The 14,364-nt window shown below is 43.2% G+C and overlaps 1 protein-coding gene and 1 long non-coding RNA gene across 7 annotated transcripts in view; both read right to left on the bottom strand.

Annotated features, from left to right (window-relative positions):
• SPICE1-CFAP44 (SPICE1-CFAP44 readthrough (NMD candidate)) overlaps nt 1-14,364 on the bottom strand; it is a 228,227-nt gene that overhangs the window by 51,620 nt on the left and 162,243 nt on the right. For 3 of the 6 annotated variants that reach the window (NR_183046.1, NR_183050.1, NR_183049.1), the window contains 2 exons: nt 5,967-6,163; nt 3,195-3,369 (listed from right to left, as the gene is read on the bottom strand). The exons of 1 other annotated variant lie outside the window; for it this stretch is intronic. This is a non-coding gene — a long non-coding RNA (SPICE1-CFAP44 readthrough (NMD candidate)). The remainder of the gene's footprint in view (nt 1-3,194; nt 3,370-5,966; nt 6,164-14,364) is intronic. 2 more of the 6 variants (NR_183045.1, NR_183047.1) reach the window with 1 other exon arrangement.
• CFAP44 (cilia and flagella associated protein 44) overlaps nt 1-14,364 on the bottom strand; it is a 154,585-nt gene that overhangs the window by 51,620 nt on the left and 88,601 nt on the right. The window contains exons 23-24 of the mRNA NM_001164496.2: nt 5,967-6,163; nt 3,195-3,369 (exon numbers count right to left, since the gene is read on the bottom strand). Coding sequence (NP_001157968.1) covers nt 3,195-3,369; nt 5,967-6,163 — 372 coding nt within the window. The remainder of the gene's footprint in view (nt 1-3,194; nt 3,370-5,966; nt 6,164-14,364) is intronic.

Consider the following 14,364-nt stretch of genomic DNA (forward strand, 5'->3'; position numbering starts at 1 on the left):
TTTTTTTTTTAATCCCCAAATCTCTCTGCTGCTTGCAGAGCAGACTGCTTCTCAGTGTCTGTCAGGGTCTGATTGAAAAGTAACATAACATCTCTCCAGGAACGTTCAAACATTTGGGTGAAATTCTGGAAAGTCTCACAGGGTCATCTGAAAAGTTGCCAAGATTTCTCTTCATTTGCTGTAAGTCCTGTAGGGAGAAGGGGACCTTGGCCTTACTGGGCCCAAATTCACTGGGCATCTGTTGGAGGGGCAAGAGTGAGACTGGGGCTTGTTTAGGGTGAGGATTTCTAAGAGGGGGCAAGTGAGGGGCTGAAGCTGGATAAGGAGGTCAAGGTGGATCCGGAGGAGCAAGGCTGGAGAGAGCTGACTCCTCTGCTGGGGGTGCCTCTGAGACTCATATCTTTAATTCCCTGGGTTTACCCCTTGCAACCTGAGATGGCCAACAGGAGGGCTGAATCAATCAATCCTACACTGTTGGCAAAAGTCTGGATTGCCTTGCAAGCTATACAAAGCCTGCACATATGGGGCTTCAGACCATCTGTCCTCACATCCACAGAAAAATTCCAACTGCTGAATGGTATCAAAAATGAATGGTTCCTTCCTGAGGCCAAGCCATCCTTCCTGTAAATCATAATTTGGCCAAACCCTTGTGCAGAGGGCTATGAGAGGTTTTTCCTCCAGATTCTGAGGGTCAAACAGTCCCAGTGGTTCAGGATACACTCCAGCTGGGGGTGGTGAAGAGAACTGGTTGCCCATTCTGAAAGACAGGGAATAGAGGCAGCCCTCATTCCTTTCCTTCTTTCAGTGAAAACTCAGAGTGTGATGGAGACAGAAAGCTAGCATCCTCCTTTCACTTTCCACCCCTTATCCCTGAGCTGGCCATAGGTACCACTGCGGTATGTACCAATGAAGTAGGGGAAACCTGGAGAATAGGAATTAACCACCCTCACCTATGCCTCCATTTCTCCCTGCTGTCGGAAAACTGAGTACCTTGGGCCTGTTTATGCCATGAAGCATGGTCTCCTTCCATGGGGTGAGAGGTTTACTCCGCAGGAATTGGTCCTGCTTTACATTGTGCCTGTTGCCTGGCTTTGGATCCCTCAGACCGGGATTTTCTTTCTAGGGCCTCAACCTGAAGCTTGGAATCGAGGTTGGGACTGAAAAAGTATTTTAGAGGCTGTTTGTATCTATTTAGAGTGTCTCAAATGTGCCCTGCCAAATTTGCAGTTCTCAGCCAGCAGGGGCCATTCCTGTTAACTTTCATATCAGAAACAGAGCTAGGGGGAGCCCTCTCACTTAGAAAAGGAAAAAAAGAAAAACAGTTTAGGGGGCAAAAAGAGGAGAGAGTCTGGGGGAAGAACCCCTTGCTTAGTGCAACTGAGCCTTTCTAATCCTTGTATCTGTCCCCCAGTTCAGACTAGATTGAATTCCTTGGCCAGGGGAGGAGAGGGTCAATTGGCGTGGTGGGCGAGAAGCACATGTCCATTGGCCCTGTGGGGTTGCGGCTACCATCATGGCTTTCTCCCGCCCTGCTCGTGACTGTTGGGCTCGACCCTTGCCTGCTGCGGGCATGCCCAGGTGCCCAATCTGGGAGGAAAAAGGGTAAGGAGAGGTGCCCTGAGCCATGCATGCCTGCAGCTGTCAAAGTGGAGGCATACATGGCATCTCTAGGAACAGTTGGTCTGATTTTCACCTTCGGAGGCTGAGCCTAATGCTCATTTAGCTTAGTAACATTTCCACAGCCTGTAACAAAACTCAGAACATTATAAAAAAAGAGATAAGAACCATTTCAAAGACAGAAAAGAGACAAAGTCTGGGGGTTTCGACCTCCCAGTTAGGGTGGAGTTTTTAAAACTCAGTGAAGAGAAACAGAGCCTCTTACCCACAGGAAAGAGAAAGGTGGCAGGGTTTCGAAAGAGAGGCAGACCCAAAAGTTTGGCATTCACTCACACTCACCTTCCGCAATCCCCAGTTTAAATGGGAAAGGTTCCCTTGTCCCCCTCGCAGGGTGTGCGATGGGGGTGTGGCTCGCTTCTTCAGTACCCCATTGCTCAAACCTCTAGGGGAGCATACAGGCGGGCAGGCTGTGGGGCTCCGACCCCATGGCAGTGTCTAGGGGTGAATGTTTGCAGCTGAAGCCCCAATGGGCGTGTCTTACAGGATGCTCTCTTAGCTTGCTGTCTATAGGCAGCCTGTGTTAACCAGCTCAATTAGACCCCCTTCCTTATCACAAGGACAGAGGGATTTCTGTATCCCGGGGTTTCTTGCCTTGGTGTACTGGAAGAATCGGATCACATGTGGGCTTGGAGAATGAGTACAAATTTTTATAGAGTGGAAGTAGCTCTCCACCAATGGGAGAACCAGAAGGGAGATGGTTTTTCCCTGGAGTTGGGCCACTCGGCAGCCCCAGCCCGACTGTCCCGCCAAACTCTGCCTCGTCCCACTGGTCAATGGCCTGCCGGCGTGCTGGCATCTGTTGATGCCTGTCAGCGTGCTCTTGATGACCAGTTACTTGTGTCTTCTTCTGCCAATGTGTCCCTCATGATGTCCAGCCACTTCTGTGTCTGCCTGCTATGGTCTCAGGTTTTAATAGGCCCAGGATAGGGGCATGGCAAGCCAGGGTGGTCTTGGGAAATGCAACACTTGGGCAGGAAATGCCTGTCCTCACCTAGGTCCGTGGGGATGGAGCCCCAGCCCGGGACCACGCCTTTCGCTACCCAGCACTTCCCTTCCTCCCTTCCATATCATTTAAAGGGACCACTCCTTTCCCTTCCCAGCACTCCCATATCAATACTGGATTTTTTTTTTTAAAAGAAAGCAATTAACTTCAGATGGTTAAAGATAAAGGTACGAGCCAAAACTATAAGATGTTAGAAGAACATACAGGAGAATATGTTTATAATTTTGAGATAGAAAAGCATTTCTTAATTCTTAAAAATCATTCTGACTATACAGTATTATTAGCAAAATGGAATTCCTGGACCGGAAACTCTAAGAATTACAGAAGTTCTACCAAAGTATCACCACCCTAAAAGATCCAGCTGACCTGTTTATAATATCTCCTTCTTTGTTTTTATTGTTTTCACTTTTGATTTTAAATGATAACAATGTCAATAAATATAAAGATTTTTAAGATATATTATTTTGGGGCTCACATATTAAAAAGATAAGAGTTTAGGTAAAAAAAAACTCACAGTTCCTCCCATTCTTTTTTTCGCTGTTGAATCTTTAGTTGTGCCCTTTCAGCTTTTAATATAAGTTTTCTCGTTTTCTCAATTTGATTTTCCACGATGATTTCACTTAGGGTTTTAGGCCGAAATTTCTTCCCTTTTTCTATTATTGATTCTTCTTGTATGGTAACACTCCCACCTACATAGAGAATCAACATTTTTCAGCCTTTTTGAGACATAAAAACAAAACTCTCAGATATTGTTTTTAACCTGCTGCATTAGAAAAAACACAGAGAATATATTGAATTTGTAAATCAAAGTATTTATTGAGCACTAGTTGTGGTGGCTCTTGCCTGTAATCCCAGCACTTTGGGAGGCTGAAGCGGGTGGATCACTTGAGGTCAAGAGTTTGAGACCAGCCTGGGCAACGTGGTGAAACCCCATCTCTACTAAAAATACAAAAATTAGCCAGCCGTGGTGGTGCATTCCTGTAATCTCAGCTACTTGGGAGGCTGAGGCAGGAGAATTGCTTGAAACCAGGAGGCAGAGGTTGCAGTAAGCTGAAATCTTGCCACTGCACTCCAGCCTGGGGAACAGAGTGAGACTCTGTCTCAAACAAAACAAAACAAAACAAAAACAAAAATGTATTTATTGACCAACTACTATGAATTCAACCCCATAATAAGTACTGTGGAATGTCAAAATAAAAAGATCTAAGCCACATTTTTTGCTTTTAAAACCCTTATTAAAAAGTTGGCAAGATAAGATATATAATAAACAATTAGAGAACATGATAAATGATGGTGGACCACTAACATGTTGGGAAAGAGTGTTTGTGAGATGATGGTGGGGAAAAGGAGAAAAATCGAGTAAGTCCAATTCGATACATACAATTTGAGGTTGCACATACCAACTGAAGTGCTCTGAAGCCAACTAAAAAACTCATCAGAAACACAATCAAATAAATAATTTAAAAATTATTGGCTTTATGGCCAGGCTTGGTGGCTCACTCCCATAATCTTATCACTTTGTAAGGCCAAGGTAGGCAGATTGCCTGAGCTCAGGAGTTCAAGACCAGCCTGGGCATGGTGAAACCCCCGTCTCTGCTAAAAATACATAAAAAAAAAAAAATTAGCCGGGTGTAATCCCAGTTACTCAGGAGGCTGAAGTACCAGAATTGCTTGAACCTGAGAGGTGGAGGTTGCAGTGAGCCTAGATTGGACCACTTCACTCCAACGTGGGGAACAGAGAGAGACTCTGTATCAAAAATAAATAAATAAATAAAAAATTAAAAAAAAATGGCTGTATCAACTAACAAGTTTCTTTTCTTTCTTTCTTTCTTTTTTTTTTTTTTTTTTTTGAGACAGAGTCTCACTTTGTCACCTAGGCTAGAGTGCAATGATGCAATGTTGGCTCACTGCAACCTCCACCTCTGGGGTTCAAGTGATTCTCCCGCCACAGCCTCCTGGGTAGCTGGGACTACAGGAATGTGCCACCGTGCTTAGCTAATTATTGTATTTTTTAGTAGAGATGGGGTTTCACCATGTTGGCCAGGCTGGCCTCGGACTCCTGACCTCAAGTGATTCACCTGCCTTGGCCTCCCAAAGTGCTGGGATTACAAGTGTGAGCCACCACACCTGGTCTACTAACAAGTTCCTATTGGGGAATTACTCTATTCGTGTTCAAGCTTTAGAGACATGAAAAATTAAATAATATGAGATATTTATATAGTTATAAATAACCATTTCATCATATTTCATATTTCAAATTTCAAATATATAGCGGTATAGAGAAAGAAGAGTTTATGTGGCCTGTGTGGTCATGGGAAGGCCTTATAAACAAAAGTGTAATTTAAGCTACATCCCCAAGAATTGGTAGAATTCAGACAGGAGAGAAGTGAAGAGGTCACTCTGGCAGGAGCCTGGGTGAGGAAGTGTTAGACATAATCAGGGAGCAGCAGGCAGGACAAAAGACTAAACAGACAAGCTGAACAGTATGAGAAAGCACTACTGGAAACGTAGAACAGGGATAGATTGTGGAAGGATTAAGTATCAGGACAGCGGTTTCAGAATTTATCCTAGAAGCAAAAAGGAGACATTAAAGAGTTCCCAATGAAGAAGATAAACCAATATTAATGTTCGTATTATATCACTGTCAATAGCCTAGATCTAGCCAGGCTGCAGCAGCACCTTTTATTTATTATTGAATGGCTCTCCAAGCCATTTCCAGAATTCTTGTTCTTTTACTAATCTGCAGTCACCTTGTGGGCAGCCAGAAGAAACAGGTTGCAGGGATTAGAGGTACTATTTTCATACCTCTATTCTCTGATCATTCTATTTAAAGCATATGTTCTTGGAAAATAGTCTGAAATGCAGTGTTTTAGCCCTACACTTTGGAATAGGGCCCAGGAATCTAAAACGAACCACTGCCTAGAACCTAGCATCTGGGGAAATCCTAGATTTAAGAATAGCTAGATGTGGCAAGTAAGAAAACAGCAGCATCCAGTCCTCTCACCCACTCTCAGTCACATGACCAGGGTAGGTTTTCTTACAAACTACATTAAAGAGGAAAGTGGACATGGAGCATTTCTTGGGAAAATGTGGCCTCTCATTCTCAGCTATACCATACACTTTTGTCTCTCTTGATTATTTACTCCAAAGAAAACCATCATGGAAGGAAGAGGGGCAAGAGATTGAGCTCAAGCCACCAAAGAAGGTTCAATGGTTCTGTCCACAGACAATTCACTTTTGAAGTCTTAGTAAATAAGAATTTAAAAGCCTTCTTGTCATAGGCTACCTGCATCTCTCTGGCTGTCCTTTCTTCCAGGTCCCTCTTTTTCAAACCTGTCCAATTTGCTTGGTTTTCTCTCTGATTGACTAGCTCGTTTGAATTTGGAGTACTTAGAGGGCTGCACCAGCCTGTAAGAGGATATCTTGTGGTCACTCAGTATGGCATGAACCACAATAGTATCACTTTCCAGTGGATCTCGAAATCTGAAAAAATAAAACAAGTATTTGCAGTAGTCACCATTTTGATCATTCTGCATAATTACTAAGTAATAAAATAAAACTACAATACACTATTCTTATTATATCATTATATTGTGCTAGACTCAAATTTTAACATATATATACCAACCAGGATGTCATGAAAGTTGGATTGGACTTGATTAAAGAGCAAATATAGTCTTTCTAATGAAAATACTAAACAACTCATTATTAATCACTATAATACCAGTGTTTTCATAATATGTGGAAAAATGAAAATTTTGCAGGTAAACTGCAGTTTAATGGTAAATAGATCATATCAAATTCTGAGGAAATAGAATCCATCTCCCTACATATTATATATAATAGACTATATATTATATATTATGTATATATATCTATACATATACATATATAATAGATTATTATATAAAATGTATAATAGATATTATAATAGATATATAGTTTGTGTATGTGTTTTGATGCATAGATATACAAATAAATATAAACATGTAAATTATATAAACAAATATGTTAATATCTGTGTGTGAGTGAAGGTCTCTAAATCAAAAAGTGGAAAAATAATTTTTAACTCTCATTCCCCAGAGACTAAAAAATGTTCATTCTTCACCTCACAAAATGTTTTAAAAATACATTTTGTTTTCTTAAATTACATGGTATGTGTGGTGTATATATATGTGTGTGTTTCCATACATGTGGCAATGCAATTTATTTGCACATAGTAACTATAAAAAGAGCAGACCTTGAGCAGTTGAATAAAAGTGCAAACCTCTTCATTTCTACTCTTTGCCCCTCAATTTTCCATGTTTAATGACATTTAATGAAAGTCCCAATCTATCAGATTCCCCTATTTGCCTCTGTAAAAAACATTAAGCTCAGGAAATCATACTAATCTCTAGTTCATCTTTCTCTCATAGCCCACAGAGTCTTATTTTTAAAAGCTCTTCATCTATCAACTAAAAAAATTAATTAACAAATTTTTTTCATCAATTGCCTTGTTATTTGGGGGCATTGGTTCATAATTATCACACACACACAAACAAGCACTTCTTAGAATTTAATTTATTTTTGTATAGATTGATTATTCCTAGCTTGTTTGCCTTTCTTACTATTTTTCTAACTTAATCTTTTAAACTCTATGTCTGCTTTTAAAATGATTTACTATTTCTTTTTAATTTTCCCTTTTCTTTCATACATACTATCTTTCTCATCTCTTTAAGACTTATTTCCTTTATGTATTTGCCCACTGGAACTTTTAAATTTTAGCCTTTCCATGAGACCCAGATTAACATTGAGAAGTGAACCCAGCTGGACTTCCTGGGTTGAGTGGGGACTTGGAGAACTTTTCTGTCTAGCTAGAGGATTGTAAACACACCAATCAGTGCTCCGTGTCTAGCTAAAGGATTGTAAATGCACCAATCAACACTCTGTAAAAACGCACCAATCAGCGCTCTGTGTCTAGCTAAAGGATTGTAAGTTCACCAATCAGCACTTTGTAAAAACACACCAATCAGCACTCTGTGTCTAGCTAAAGGATTGTAAATGCACTAATCAGCACTCTGTAAAAATGCACCAATCAGCGCTCTGTGTCTAGCTAAAGGACTGTAAGTGCACCAATCAGCACTCTGTAAAAACGCACCAATCAGCGCTCCGTGCCTAGCTAAAGGATTGTAAGTGCCCCAATCAGCACTCTGTAAAAAAGCACCAATCAGCACTCTGTGTCTAGCTAAAGGATTGTAAGCACACCAATCAGCACTCTGTAAAAATGCACCAATCAGTGCTCTGTATCTAGCTAAAGGATTTTAAGTGCACCAATCAGCACTCTGTAAAAACGCACCAATCAGCACTCTGGGTCTAGCTACAGGATTGTAAATGCACCAATCAACACTCTGTAAAAACACACCAATCAGCGCTCTGTGTCTAGCTAAAGGATTGTAAGTGCACCAATCAGCACTCTGTGTCTAGCTAAAGGATTGTAAAGGCACCAATCCGCACTCTGTAAAATGGACCAATCAGCACTCTGTAAAATGGACCAATCAGCAGGAAATGGGCAGGGACAAATAAGGGAATAAAAGCTGGCCACCCCAGCCAGCAGCGGCAAACCACTCGGGTCCCCTTCCATGCTGTGGAAGCTTTGTTTTTTTGCTCTTCACAATAAATCTTGCTGCTGCTCACTCTTTGGGTCCACACCACCTTTATGAGCTATAACACTCACCGCGAAGGCCCGTGGCTTCATTCTTGAAGTCAGCGAGACCAAGAACCCACTGGAAGGAACCAACTCTGGACACATCTTGGCGACCCAGATGGGACATCGCCATGCAGTGAGTACCATCAGACCCCTTTAGCTTGCTCTTCTGCCCTATTTTTCCTTAGAATTCGGGGGCTAAATACTGGACACCTGTCAGCCAGTTAAAAGTGACTAGCGTGGCCGCCGGACTAAAGACATGGGTGTCAGGCTTTCTGGGAAAGGGCTCTCTAACAACCCCCGACTCTGGAGTTGGGAGCGTTGGTTTGCCTGGAAACAGCTTCCGCTTTTGGGCTGAGCCAACGGTCAAGAGAGAGGAAAATCATTCAGTTCTGGGGTTCTGACAAAAAGTTGGTTGACCCTGTAGCCATGAGTGGAACTCTCAAAGTCACGTCGCCCAAGCAAGGCTCACCTGTCTATCCTATCTATCCTGACACTTGCCTCCTGGGTCTTAATGCCTGTCAGACAAACTTCCTCCTGCCTCTCTTCTCTGAGGCTAATCCCGCTTCTAAAAACTACCCCGTCTCTGGTGCTTTTCTAGTTTCTCCTATAATGATTTCTAGTATAAACTTCAGGACTCTGTTCCCTTCTTTAGGCACCTGGGCTCACCAATCAGAAAGATATAATTTTTGCCCAAAGCCCCATTGGGTGGGGAGACCAACTATCCTTTTAGGATCCTTCCTCAGACAAGCGGGCCTAACAAAAGCTATTCCTGAAGCTAGGATGTGGGGAGCTTCAGAAATGATATCCTTCCTATTCAAGTGAGGACAAAAGGCGTCACTCTTCCAACCCCAGAGATCCCTTCCCTCCCTCAGGGTATGGTCCTCTACTTCATTTTGGGGGCATAACATCTTTATAGGACAGGGGTAAAGTCCCGATACTAACAGGAGAATGCCTAGGACTCTAACAGGTTTTTGAGTATGCATCAGTAAGGGCCACTAAATCCGATTTTTCTCGGTCCTCATTGTGGTCTAAGAGGACAGGCAAGAGTGCAGGTTTTCAAGAATGCATTGGTAAGGGCCACTAAATCCAACCTTCCTCTGTCCTCCTTGTGGTCTAAGAGGAAAACTAGTGTTTTTGCTGCTGCATTGGTGAGCACAACTATTCCAATCAGCAGGGTCCAGGGACCATTGCAGGTTCTTGGGCAAGAGGGGTTTCTGCTGCTGCATTGGTGAGTGCAACTATTCTGATCAGCAGGGTCCAGGGACCATTGCAGGTTCTTGGGTCGGGGGGAAGTAAACAAATCAAAACCGCGGGCGGTTTTTCCTTTCACATGGGAAACACTCAGGCATCAACAGGCTCACCCTTGAAATGCATCCTAAGCAACTGGGACCAATTTGACCCACAAACCCTGAAAAAGAGGTGGCTCATTTTTTTCTGCACTACAGCCTGGCCCCAATATTCTCTCTCTGATGGGGAAAAATGGCCACCTGAGGGAAGTATAAATTACAATACTATCCTGCAGCTTGACCTTTTCTGTAAGAGGGAAGGCAAATAGAGTGAAATACCTTATCTCCAAGCTTTCTTTTCATTGAAGGAGAATACACAGCTATGCAAAGCTTGCAATTTACATCCCACAGGAGGATCTCTCAGCTTACCTCCATATCCTAGCCTCCCTATAGCCCCCCTTCCTATTAATGATAAGCCTCCTCTAATCTCCCCTGCCCAGAAGGAAATAAGCAAAGAAATCTCCAAGGGACCACAAAAACTCCCAGGCTATTGGTTATGTCCCCTTCAAGCTGTAGGGGGAGGGGAATTTGGCCCAACCCGGGTACATGTCCCCTTCTTCCTCTCTGATTTAAAGCAGATCAAGGCAGACCTGGGGAAGTTTTCAGATGATCCCGATAGGTACACAGATGTCCTACAGGGTCTAGGACAAACCTTTGACCTCACTTGGAGAGATGTCATGCTATTGTTAGATCAAACCCTGGCCTTTAATGAAAAGAATGCAGCTTTAGCTACAACCTGAGAGTTGGAGATACCTGGTATCTTAGTCAAGTAAATGATAGAATGACAGCCGAAGAAAGGGACAAATTCCCTACCAGTCAGCAAGCCGTCACCAGTATGGATCACCACTGGGACCTCGACTCAGATCATGGGGACTGGAGTTGCAAATATCTGTTGACCTGTGTTCTAGAAGGACTAAGGACAATTAAGAAAAAGCCCATGAATTATTCAATGATGTCCACCATAACTCAGGGAAAGGAAGAAAATCCTTCTGCCTTCCTCAAGCTGCTATGGGAGGCCTTAAGAAAATATACTCCCCTGTCAGCCGACTCCCTCGAGGGTCAATTTATCCTAAAAGATAAGTTTATTCCCAGTCAGCCACAGGTATCAGGAGAAAGCTCCAAAAGCTAGCCCTGGGCCCTGAACAAAATCTGGAGGCATTATTAAACCTGGCAACCTCAGTGTTCTATAATAGGTACCAAGAGGAACATGCCGAAAAGGAAAAGCGAGATCAGAGAAAGGCCGCAGGCTTAGTCATGGCCCTCAGACAAACCTCGGTGGTTAGAGAGGACAGAAAATGGAGCAGGCCAATCACCTGGTAGGGCTTGTTATCTGTGTGGTTTGCAAGGACACTTTAAAAAAGATTGTCCAATGAGAAACAAGCTGCTCCCTTGCCCATGTCCACTATCCCGAGGCAATTACTGGAAGGTGCACTGCCGCAGAGGACAAAGGTTCTCTGGGCCAGAAGCCCCTAAACAGATGATCCAACAACAGTACTGAGGGCTCCCGGGGCAAGTGCCAGCTCATGTCATCACCCTCACTGAGCCCCAGGTATGTTTAACCATTGAGGACCAGGAAATTGACTTCCTCCTGGACACTGGTGCAGCTTTCTCAGTGTTAATCTCCTGTCCCAGACAGCTATCCTCAAGGTCTGTTACCATCCGAGGAATCCTGGGACAGCCTGTAGCCAGGTATTTCTCCCACCTCCTCAGTTGTAATTGGGAGACTTTGTTACAGATAGTAAGTATGCTTATCTAATCCTACATGCCCATTCTGCAATATGGAAAGAAAGGGAGTTCCTAACCTCTGGAGGCACCCCCATTAAATATCACAAGGAAACCATGGAGTTATTGCACACAGTGCAAAAACCCAACGAGGTGGCAGTCTTACACTGCCGAAGCCATGAAAAGGGGAAGGAGAGGGGAGAACAGCAGCATAAGCGGCTGGCAGAGGCAGAGAAAGACCAGCAGAGAGGAAAGAGAGAGAGAGAGAGGAAGAGACAGAGAGACAAAGACAGAGAGAAAGAGAAAGACAGGAAGTCAAAAAGAAAGAGAAGGAAAGAGAGGAAGAGACAGACAAAGAAGGAGTCAGAGAGGAAGAAAGAAAGAGACAGAAAGTCAGAGAGAGAGAAAGAGACAGAGAGACAAAGAGAGAGTCAGAGAGAGAGAGAGAGACAGAAAGTCAAAGAGAGAGAGGAAGAGACAGACAAAGAGGGAGTCAGAAAGAGAGAAAGAGACAAAGAAGCCGAAGAGAAAGAAAGAGAGATGGAAGTAGTAAAGAAAAGAGTGTACCCTATTCCTTTAAAAGCCAGGGTAAATTTAAAACCTATAATTGATAATTGACAGTCTTCTCCATGACCTTATAACACTCCAATACCACCTTGTTGTCAGTGTAAACAAGGGTGTAGCCCGAAAGCACTGAGGCCACTGACAACCCGTAGCCTTCCTATCAGAGATCCTTGGCCCAGTGGCCCACAGATGGCCCAGGTGCATTCAATCTGTGGCGGTGGCTGCTTTGCTAGCAGAAGAAAGTGGGAAAATAACTTTTAGAGGTAACCTCATTGTGAGCACACCTCACCAGGTCAGAAATATCCTAAGTCAAAAAAAGAGGAAAGGCAAAGGGGTAGCTTACTGGCTCAAATCTTGAAGTGTGGGGCTGGTTCTGTTGGAAAAAGATGATTTGACCCAGCAGATTTACTAACAGGGGATCTAGGTCTTGATTGGTTGCCATACAGGGGTCTGACCAGACCTAGGAGGAACTCCCTTCAGGACAGGACAATAGATGGTTCCTCCTGGGCGATTGAGGGAAAAAGACTCAATGGGTATTCAGTAAGTTATAAGGAAACTCTTGTAGAGGCAGGGTTAGGAAAATTGCCTAATAATGGGTCCGCTCAAATGTGTGAGCTGTCTGCACTCAGCCAAACATTAAAGTACTTACAGAATCAGGAAGGAGCCATCTATACAAATTCTAAGTTAATATGGACTGAACGAGATCTTATTAATAGCAAAGAATAACTGAAATCCCAAACTTACAAGGTTTTCAACAAAAGTAAAGTTTGCTAAAAGTTAACAGTGTAACATGTATTATTCTAACTCTAATCTTGAGGAAATCAGACCCTATCAGTACCCCTCAAAGCTTAAGTCCATCAGCACAGAGCCATACAACTAATACCCCTAATTATAGGGTTAGGAATGGCTACTGCTACAGGAACTGGAATAGCCAGTTTATCTACTTCATTATCCTACTACCACACACTCTCAAAGGATTTCTCAGTTTGCAAGAAATAATGAAATCTATCCTTACTCTACAATCCCAAATAGACTCTTTGGCAGCAGTGACTCTCCAAAACCGCCAAGACCTAGATCTCCTCACTGCTGAGAAAGGAGGACTCTGAACCTTCTTAGGGGAAGAGTGTTGTTTTTACACTAACCAGTCAGGGATAGTACGAGATGCCAACCGGCATTTACAGGAAAAGGCTTCTGAAATCAGACAACGCCTTTCAAACTCTCATACCAACCTCTGGAGTTGGGCGACATGGCTTCTCCCCTTTCTGGTCCCGTGACAGCCATCTTGCTATTACTCACCTTCGGGCCCTGTGTTTTTAACCTCCCTGTCAAATTTGTTTCCTCCAGAATCGATGCCATCAAGCTACAGATGGTCTTACAAATAGAACCTAATGAGTTCAACTACCAACTTCTACCAAGGACTCCTGGATTGACCCACTGGCCCTTCGGCTGACCTAGAGAGTTACCCTCTGGAGGACACTACAACTACAGGGCCCCTTCTTCACCCCTACCCAGCAGGAAGTAGCTGGAGCAGTCATTGCCCAATTCCCAACAGCAGTTGGGGTGTCCTGTTTAGAGGGGGGATTGAGAGGTGAAGCCAGCTGGACTTCCTGGGTCAAGTGGGGACTTGGAGAACTTTTCTGTCTAGCTAGAGGATTGTAAATGCACCAATCAGCGCTCTGTGTCTAGCTAAAAGATTGTAAATGCACAATCAGCACTCTGTAAAATGGACCAATCAGCGCTCTGTAAAATGGACCAATCAGCAGCATGTGGGCAGGGACAAATAAGGGAATAAAAGCTGGCCACCCCAGCCAGCAGCAGCAACCTGCTCAGGTCCCCTTCCATGCTGTGGAAGCTTTGTTCTTTCGCTCTTCACAATAAATCTTGCTGCTGCTCACTCTTTGGGTCTGCACCACCTTTAAGAGCTGTAAACACTTGCTGCAAAAGTCTGCGGCTTCATTCTTGAAGTCAGCAAGACCAAGAACCCACTGGAAGGAACCAACTCCAAACACAACATGAAGGAAAATATAGCTGGTTTTGATCACATAAAAATTAAAAATTCTGCACAGTTAGAAAAATATGAACAAAGTTTAAGGCAAATGGCAGAGCAGGAGAAACCATTTACAATATGTAGAATAAAAGGCAAATATCTGTAATATAGATAAAGAGGCTAAAATTAAAAATAATGTGGGAAATAAACAGAACCCAAAGAAAAATGAACAAGAAATCTAAACAGAGAATTCTCAGAAGAATACATGTAAATGAACCACAGGCATATGAAAGGAAATGCTGAACCCCACCAATAATAAAAAGGATGCAGATTATTCAACCAAGAGTTATTATATTTTGCCTATTAGATTGGTAAAGATGAAAACATTGGTAATACCCAGTGTTATTTGGTACAACTTTATCCTCTCCCCACATTCCAG

This window comes from Homo sapiens, chromosome 3, assembly GCF_000001405.40.
Source record: "Homo sapiens chromosome 3, GRCh38.p14 Primary Assembly".
Classification (NCBI taxonomy): Eukaryota; Metazoa; Chordata; class Mammalia; order Primates; family Hominidae; genus Homo; species Homo sapiens.